The sequence below is a fragment of the Homo sapiens genome, chromosome 8, assembly GCF_000001405.40.
Source record: "Homo sapiens chromosome 8, GRCh38.p14 Primary Assembly".
Taxonomy (NCBI): domain Eukaryota; kingdom Metazoa; phylum Chordata; class Mammalia; order Primates; family Hominidae; genus Homo; species Homo sapiens.
The window spans coordinates 25,061,786-25,071,319 of record NC_000008.11 but is presented as its reverse complement, the minus strand read 5'-3'; the positions used below and the strand labels follow the sequence as shown (position 1 = coordinate 25,071,319).

Genomic DNA, 9,534 nt, shown 5'->3' with positions numbered 1-9,534 from the left:
GGTCAGGCTGGTCTCGAACTCCTGACCTTGTGATCTGCCTGCCTCAGCCTTCCAAAGTGCTGGGATTACAGTCGTGAGCCACTGTGCCCAGCCTGATTATTTCTTTTTATCTCAAAACTCTCTTAGCCCTTGGGATCATACACCCTTCTGGTCTCTTTCTACCCAGAAAGCATCTCATTTTCAAGACTCTCAGTGAACATCTCCACAGAGATGACAATAAAATTATGTCTTCCTCAGGATTTGTTTCTACTTTTCCCTACAATGAAAGATTTCTTTTTTTTTTTTTGAAGTTGGAATTTTTTTTATTTAACTAAATATATAAAAAATAGTATTTCCACATGTAATCAATATTAAATTATTTATGAAGTATTTTGATTATGTCATTGCCATTATTTTTAAAGATTCTTTAAACAAATTTTTATTTTTAATTTTGTGGATACATAGTAGGTGTATATATTTACTGGGTAAGTGAAATGCTTTGATGCCGGCATGCAATGTGTAATAATTACATATGGAGAATGAGAATTACACCCCCTCAAGCATTTATCCTTTGTGTTGCAAAAAATCCAATTATATTCTTTTGGTTATTTTAAAATGTGCAATTAAGTTATTACTATAGTCAACCTGTCGTGCTATCACATAGTAAGTCTTATTCATTCTATTTTTTTTCTGTACCCATTAACATTAACCATCCCCACCTCACCCTCACCTGCTACTACTCTTCCCAGCCTCTGGTAACCTTCCTTCTACTCTTTATGTTCATGAATTCAATTGTTTTGATTTTTGTATCCCACAAATAAGTGAGAACATGTGATGCTTGTCTTTCTTTGCCTTGCTTATTTCACTTAGCTTAATGATCCCTAGCTCCATCTATGTTGTTGCAAATGACAGGATCTCATTCTTTTTTATGGCTGAATAATACTCCATTGTGTATTTGTACCACATTTTCTATATGCATTCATCTATTGGTAAACACTTAGGTTGCTTCCAAATCTTGGCTATAGTGAACAGTGCTGCAGCAAACACAGGAGTGCAGCTATCTCTTTGTCCTACTGATTTCCTTTCTTTCAGGTCTCTACCCAGTGGGAGCATTGCTGGATCGCCCCATATGGTAGCTCTATTTTTAGTTTTTTGAAGAAGCTCCAAAGTGTTCTCCATAGTGGTCGTACGAATTTACATTCTCACCAAGTGTATGAAGGTTCTGAAAGGCTTCCTCTTGAATATTTCCTTGTCGTTACAACCTCAACAGGTTCCTGACTTTTCTTTCTTCCTTCTTTTCTTCCTTTCCTTTCCTTTCCTTCTTCCTCATTTCTGCCGATAACAATATGAGACAGTCAAATTTGAAATATTTTTATTATTTTTGGTTCATTTCTTCCCTTTGTTGCCTACAAGTAATCAGTCACTAAATCCTGTTAATTTACCCAGAAATCTTTTAATTGATCCCTGCTTTTGTATTCCCACCACTGTCAGCTACGTCTGGGCTTTTATCTTGTGATCCATAAACTTTATTGTGCGTATAGACTCCTTTGAGGTTTTATTAAAATTTATGAATCCTTTTTTCCCCAGAAAAATGTAATTGTGCATAGACACAATTACATTTTGAGTGTATCAGGAGATTTGCAGAAGCCCTGAAGTCAAAACTCTTATAGAATTGATTCTGGCTGTCTGTAATATCAGCCTTCTCATTCCATCCATGTGGCACCCAGGCTAATCTTTTTTAATGTCATTCCCTATAAAAGACAGCTAATGACTTCTTATAAACTTCAGAATAAAATCTGAGGCTCAACTGGGCATTCCAAAAGCCTTTCCCAGTCCTATAAAAGGAACTCAAACTGCCTTTTCAGTTTTACCTCCTCAAACACAGAAGAAAAATAAACCTAATAATAATAATAATAAATAACACATTCAATTGAGTACTTATCGTGTACAAGGATGCTCTGCTGAGTGCAGAGGTTGCAGGGACTCCCTTTAAGCTCCTCCAACCCCTTGCGTTGCACAGCTGATCTCTTTATTGTCTGTGTGACATTGGTGGAGGGTCAGGAGGGAGGAAGGAAGTGTGTGGGCTTTGGACCTAAGCAGACTGGGGAATGAAAAATCAATATTCTCCCAATCTGACTTCTGAACCTTACTTCTCCTGGAAAATGGGAATAACAGTAACTACTCACAGAGTTGTGATGAAAATTACCTGAAACAATACAAATATCTAGAAGAAAGTCTGACACCTAGGAGTCGCTCTACCTGTCATAGCTGTTTCCAAGCTCAATAAATAATTTGAGTGTCTTCTAATTTAATAAACAATTGCTGAGGTTTTTCACCAGGCGAACCCTTCAGTAGAAGACACTTCTCTCATAATTGGCCTGACCAAGCAGTAAATCACCGAATGCCTTCAAAAGGCCAACTTACATCTATGTGTTTGCGGGTGGACCCTGTATTGTGCCTTCTGCTAGGGTAAGGGGTAAGCAGTGACCCCACCAACAAGCTTCCGTCCTTTTCAGCATGTGAGCTCTTCCAATGTTGAGCACAGAATAACCTTAGGTAATTCTACAGATGGTCTCAGGACAGAGCCTATGAGCTCAGAGAGCATTGGCTGAAAAAATCCTAACAAGTAACCAGGAGTAACCTCATTACTTAGTGCAAATTTCTAAATGATAAAAACATGTTGATTTTTTTAAAATTCACATTGACAGATTTAATTAAGGGGCTGGAATTTTATTTTCCCCATCAGCAGAGGATGAGTAAGGAACAATGAGAAACTGAGGTATTTTAAGTTACCTTTTTTAACCTATAATTTATAACTCATTAAAGAGAAATATGCCTTTAATGAACTCAAAAACTACGTTAGGCACTGTACTTGAGGGAGAGGTCTGGAAGGACTCTTTGAAAGGGGAGTTTTAAGGAAAAAAAGAGGTGAGGGGAGGTTTAGCTGAACTGAAAATGTATTATAATCTTACTGGGGAGACAGAATTTACTTCCGAAGTTATTAGATCATAATTATATTTTAAACCAAAGATTCTTAGAGGACTTTGCAATACAATTTACTTCCTATTATTTTCTTTTATGGAATTTAGAACATTATTTTGAGATGGGGTTCATAGGCTTCTTTAAACGACAGAAAAAAGAGGAAAAAAAAACAAAGGTTAAGAATTTCATCATAGCTTGAAGCCTCCACTTTAGTATGGGTTCAAAGGTTGGTCTCCTGGGGAAGGCTTTTCAGCTATTCTTAGGCACATGGAGGAAGGGCGTGGGCTGGGAGGGTCTCACTATTTATTTTGAAGCCAGGATCCACTCGTATTGAAATCTGTTTCCTCGGGTCTACCAGGCTGACACCCTGACATAGTGGAGGTTCTTACCAGCAGCCGTAACATCTGCAGAGGAACGATGTCCCCTCATACTGCATCCAGAATCTGAGCACTGCAGAATCAATCGTACCCCTTTTGGCCTGGATCAAAACCTGTAGTGTAGGACTGTCCTGTTGGAGCAGCAGCTTGAGCTGGGGCATCCCTGGAAATGGAGATAGAATAGAGCACCCCCTTCCTCAGTTATTCAGGGGCAGCTGCTGAGATGGGGGCCGGTTTCTGTCCCCCATGCCCCCACCCCACAGCAGGAGGAAGCAAGGGCAAAGAAAGAAGTGGGGAAATGACTCTGCCAGCAACAGCCAAGGATTACTGAATTTGAAGGCCTGCCTTTGCCTCTGCTCATTCCCTCCTCCATGCTCAGAAAAGAGAGAAGAAAAGACCAAAAAAAAAAAAAAATGCTCTGTCTCCTCTGATCACTGCGGAATTGGCAGGAACTTACCCTGTTGTCAGCAGGAGAGAGCCTTTCCTAATCCATCACAACCTTCAGATAACCTGATTCATGCCCTGCAACAGTGTCATCCTGTCTGGTGGCAAGTAGATTTCAATTTCATCCACCCACACCGCATTTTAAAATAAAATGCTAGTGACAGTGCAGGCAGACTGCCTCTCCCATGTCCCCCCAGACAGAGCCACTACAAATGCTAGGGCCAGTGCATTCATGTTGCCCTTGCTGGGTCGTTTTGTGTCCTTGAGTTAAGGTTTGCTGTCTTCCCTGTGGGCTTGGCTGTCTGTTTTGATCAGGATAAAGTCAAGTGGTGTTATTGAATATGCTATCTGAGGGCTGGGGGAGGCGCTTTAGCTGACCTCCTCTGGCTACGGACCAATGACCACACTTACCTCCTGAGATGTCTCTGAATATTCGAAACAAAGTGTCTGTCCCCACTTGCTGTGACTGTTCTGGGTGTCACAGTGTTTTCAAGGACTGGTGAAGCCCCAGTCACCTCCTAACTTATGTCTACAGTGTTTACCATCCTAACGTCAGAGCTGGGGTCAACTCTAATCAGGTTCAGAGGCAGATACTGGTCAAGCCCTGGTGACCACTGCCTTCTCCTAGCTTAGCCGAGTGAGTATGACTAGGCACGCGCAATTCTTATACATGCACCTTGGGGAGCTGAGTTGTAATATTTGAGCATTTATGTGCCAGGTCCTTTTTAACTTCTGATATTAAATACTACCTGTTGAGTCTGACCATGGTACAACAGTTAAAATCCCATAAGGACATTCTACCCTATCTGTAGTTCAAATCCCAGCTCTTTCCCTATTCACCGTATTAACTGGTTGAGTCACCTGATGGCTGTGTTTTCATTTCCTCCTATGTAAAAACAAAGACAAATGCTTTCTTATCAGGGTACTGGGAGGCAAAGGGAGAAGGCATACCTGAAAACACTCACAGTGTTCAGTATACAGAGGGCTCTTAGATGTCAGCCCCTTTCCTACCCACTAGCCTACCACCATGCTATAAATCCATGACAATTTTAGGAGAACAGGGTAGAAAAGAAGGTCATGCCACATTCCAGATTCAGAAGACACTATAAAAAAACACAAACAAAACAACCTTAGCTCCAAAGACAATAGACAATACACTGGAAGATTTTTATTTTTGGTATTTGTCACTTTTATTGCCACAATTTATACATAGCATAAATATATTTTTAAAATATATGCTATACTAATCATTATATTGATCCAATGAAGTTGTGCGCAATCAGCTGTATTATGATGGTCTAAACTGACTCTAAGTTCAAATAGACCACTATCTTAGTAAGCTTTCAACTTGTGTGTTTAAGATATTATGGTATTCATCAAAAAGATATATGTTTCCTTTCTTGCATAGTTTTCTCAAGGTGTAATAGGGAGTAAAGCAATATACAGCAACCTACCTAAGTCCACCAATATTTTCTTTTCAACACAGTTTGGAAGGAAATAAGACATTATCTTGATTTGCTCAACCTCTACATTAGGTATGTGAACCTAGAATGGTTAAGCTTCTCAACGTCAGGCTAAGGGCAAAGACAAAACCCAAATCTAGTTTTCCTGATGACAAGAACGCAATAAGCTCTTCTCAACAGACTTAGAAGGTCACACTCAAACTAACTCTTCTACCACTTGGGCATGTGAACTTTGTGTAGAAAGATATTCGTATGTCTTTGAGCAATTTTGACCCAGGAAAGAATCCTACCAGGTTGTGCAAGGCCTGCGCTTGGTGCTTTGCAGTGATGCAATTTGACCATTAGGTGGCAGGAGCCTCCAAAGAGAAAATTTAAGTTGGAAAAAAAAGGCATTGACTACATCTGTGCAAATATTGTATGTATGTGCAAGCATATTAAGTCCCCTCAATCTTTTTTTTTTTAGTATATGTGCTGCCAAAGTGAGCACAGAGTCCCCTCACTCTTTTGACTCTTATTCTAAGGGCACTGTAACTAGCCACTTATAGAATGAATCCTATGAGGACAAATTCTCCAATAAAGCAAAAGTTTATGGAACCCTCACCTTTTTTCCCTTTCTGCCTAGTGCTTTGCTTCCCCCATAAAGGAATAAGTGGGAGGGAAATATATATTGAGCATCCTGCAATGGGCTGGAACATTCAGCTCTTCTATCCGATTTAGCTCAACAAGCCAAATTACGATCCAACAGGAGCAGGAACATATTAATATCTTTGTTTCCTTTTTTGTACCTTTCGCTCGGGGTGTAAGATGCTGTAAAGTAATATATAGCTGCCTCCATGGGGCTATCACAGAGACCTGCTATTTTAAACCACCTAATTGGGTTTGTCATCTTTGTTAGTAAGATCTGGAAGGTGGGAAGTTTAAGAGGAGAGGGAAGACATTTAATTGGTGCTGTGTTCTATATATCTTTATGTAACTGCAGGCTCTTGAAAAAGGGGGAAAATCTTATATAAAGAACTTGAGGAAGTCTAATCAAGGGAGGATGCAGGCAAACGCTCCAATTGCACACAAACTCTGCTAGGAGTGTCACTGACGCGGCCATGACCGTGAACGAAAACTTGTTTCTAACAGGCTCATGTGGTCTCATGTTCTTGATGAGTCACAGTCCTTAAATGAGTGAAGTTTTTGCTATAACAAGGTTAAATAAACCCTCGCAAACAGCACAATTAGAGAAGAAAAATTTTCCCAAAGTGTGAAAAATGCGAAAAGTGAAAAAAAAAAAAAAAAAAGACAACCCATCTGCATTCAGGGCTTAAGCTTGAAAATTCTGTAAAAGCCCAATGTTGTGTGTAACTGAAAGCATCTCTGACCTAAGCTTTAGAAATTACTTGTTCCCCATTAAGTGCTTTGTCTCTAATGAATTATTGAACGTCTGTTGGGAGACTTGTTTTAAAAAAGCAGTTTGTGCTGTTTGTCTCTTGTGTATTAATCTGTAGATACCAGGAGCTCATGGTATCATCACCGAAGCCAAGTAGCTCACGGGTGGCCCTGGTGGTTGGTCTCTGTAGGGGTGGCACCTCAGGGCACTGGTTTCAGCCCAGGCACTGGACAGCCTCCGCCCAGCCTGGGGCTGCTGCCGCCCAGAGCTCACTGCAGTAGAGACTGCAGCAGTGGACTGGCACGCCCTGTTAAAGTCGCAGTGCTGAATTCCCTCCAGCCAAACTCCATCTTTGGCTGTGCCTGGGCAGGCTCTGGCACCATGGGAAAAAGGGCTGGTTTTCAGTAAGGGGTACCCTCAGATCTCAGGAGGATCCCAACCTCCAGGGCTGTAAAGTGTATAGGGCAGAAAGACGGTATTTTTAGGTTACATTTCTTCTTGGAATTCTTAGATTTGTGACTGTTGAAAACTCAGTCATATTTCCAGGGGGAAATGCCTTTCAGCTTCCCACCTGCGTATTCGAGCTCATTTTAAACTTTCTGAGAATCTCTGCCAAGGACTGTATTCCCTGCGCCAGTGACCACTGGGTCCCAGTGAAGTTATCTGTAAAAGGGGTAGTGAGATCCTGCGTTTTTGCACAACCTGCATCCTAAGAGAGTCTTGGGCAGGCCTCTTTATCCTCACAGGCCTCTTCCTCTCAGGCTGCCCTAAGCTCAACCTACCTGCTGTCTGCATTCAGAGCATCTGGTAAACCTGTTCACAGTAAAGCATCAGGAACTTAAGGAGTTATTCTTCCTGGGGGTACTTCTATTGTAAAAGAAACAAAAGCCTGGAAACTGTTTTTCTATCTCTCAGTAGTTAAATAAAGACAGTCTATTTATGCAGTGGAATTTGATAGAAGCAGGTCTACATTTACTGATGTGGACTCTTTACAAGAAGCAAGGAGCCAAGCAGGACAGCAGCTGGTGTTACATGCGTAGTCTAAGCATATATGCTTTTGTGGACACTGGGTAGGTGGGAAAGGCAGGTGTTGAACCTTACAGAGATTCAACAAGACAGAGGGAAGGGCATACATATTCAAGGTGAAAAGTGGAAAGAGAGCCCGGCATATTGGGAAACAGCAGAAACTTTAGTGCAGAAGGAGGTTAGGGAGGGCACAGGTGGTGGCATGGAGGCGAGGCTTTGCAGGGTCTGGGTTTGAGGCTTTGCAGGGTCTGGGTTTGAGGGCATTGAGCTCCTCCTGGTGGAGGAGCTGCCTGCTGCTCCCTCTGAGAAGAACAGAGAGCTTAGCTCCTGGAAGAGGGGCTAGGAAGTCACAGACCCAAAGTGGGTCAGGTTCCAGGCACTCTGATTAAGGACATGTGTTTTCTTAAAGCCCAAATACAATTAGGATGGTCAATAAACCTCTGTCCAGAGCCCTGTGGTCAGAACTAAAGGAAACATTAAACTGAGTAAGATGCTGTTACTGCCTTCCAGCCAGACAGATCCACAATAATGGCCAGCATTTATGTAGTGCTGACTGTGCGGCTAGACCTGTTTTAAGGATGAAATTAACTTGTATATTAGTATATTAACTCATTAAATCCTCATAATAACCACATATAAGAAGGATTAGTATTATTCCCATCTTGCAGACAAGGTGAATGAAGCACAGAGAGGTTAAGTAATTTGCTCAAGGTCACACAGCTAGCAAGTGCCAAATTGGGATTCAAACTCGGGGAACCTGGCAGCAAACTAGAATCTACTTAACACTATGGAATCCTGTCTCCATATGAATAAATAGACTTTGAGGTAGAAGAGAGTAAATGCCAGGAGAAATTAAAGTCCTATGAGATGCCAAGGAGGAGAGAAATTACATCCAACTGAAGAAGATTTTTTTAAAGTTAGCATTTGAGATGTTACCCGAAGAGTAGAAGGCCTTTCTGCAGGCAAGTTCAAGAGTGGATATTCCAGATGGAGGTAAATAATGTATGCAAATGAATCCTCCTGCTGTCCTCAGATATTACCATCTAAGTCTGATTTGTTTGCTATGAGAGTACTGATTTTTTTCTATTCCCTTTTTAATTATTACTTTTAATTTTTTATTCATGTACTTACCAGGAACTGGATCCTATTCCCTTTTTATCTTCATTCATTCATTCATTCATTCATTCATTCATTCATTATCTTCATTCATTCATACAATATATTCGAGCATTTACCATGTGCCAAGTATTCCCCTGGGCTGGACATTCACAATGCAAGGACAGCCTTTACCTATATTTTCCTCTGAAAACAAAAATAAATACTTCAGTGTTTCCTCCCCAGTTAGTGAGCATAAATGTAGACTTTCTGCAGCACCCCTTGCCCCTGACTTTAGTAAGGAGGGCTTCAAAATTGAGAAGAAGAAAGAAAAAAGATGAATTTAGGAGAGAAAAAGGGAAGGACAAAAAGCATTCTTGACTTGGCTATGTTAGTTTTCAATTCCTTTACAGTGCCAAGAAGCTGGAAGATTAGAGATTATAGATCACCTCAGGGGACCCTTGTCACTGAGTGCCTGGGAGAGGAATGCTGATTTTTTTTTTTTTTTAAGTACAGTTACCGAGAATAAGAGTGTAGCTCTGCATGTATTCACTGTGTGGCCTGGGCATGCACGAAGCCCCTGGATGCCTCAGTTAACTCATCTGTAAAATGGAGTTAAGGATAACACATATGCTGGCAGCACTGTTTGGGGAACCAAATGAGATAATAAGCATAAAGTGCTTGCACAGTGCCCAACATGGGGTGATTTGATAGAAGAGAGGCCAGAGAGGCTCACACAAGGGAGAGGTGAAGGATGCTGAGTTCAACTTTCACTTCACCTACTGCATAGTTT

General features: G+C 41.1%; 1 long non-coding RNA gene across 1 annotated transcript, besides 1 other annotated feature; it reads right to left on the bottom strand.

Annotated features, from left to right (window-relative positions):
- Window positions 1-402: 402 nt before the first annotated feature.
- On the bottom strand, window positions 403-3,501 carry LOC124901911 (uncharacterized). The gene is made up of 2 exons (XR_007060860.1): window positions 3,351-3,501; window positions 403-1,311 (listed from the first exon to the last, which is right to left on the bottom strand). It is a non-coding gene; the product is annotated as an uncharacterized LOC124901911 (long non-coding RNA).
- Window positions 7,812-8,106: a silencer, noted in NCBI's record as "tiled region #9467; K562 Repressive non-DNase unmatched - State 13:Ctcf". NCBI's record gives its function as "represses a minimal TATA promoter and a strong SV40 promoter by Sharpr-MPRA in K562 cells {active_cell/tissue: K562}" and the evidence as "EXISTENCE:reporter gene assay evidence [ECO:0000049][PMID:27701403]".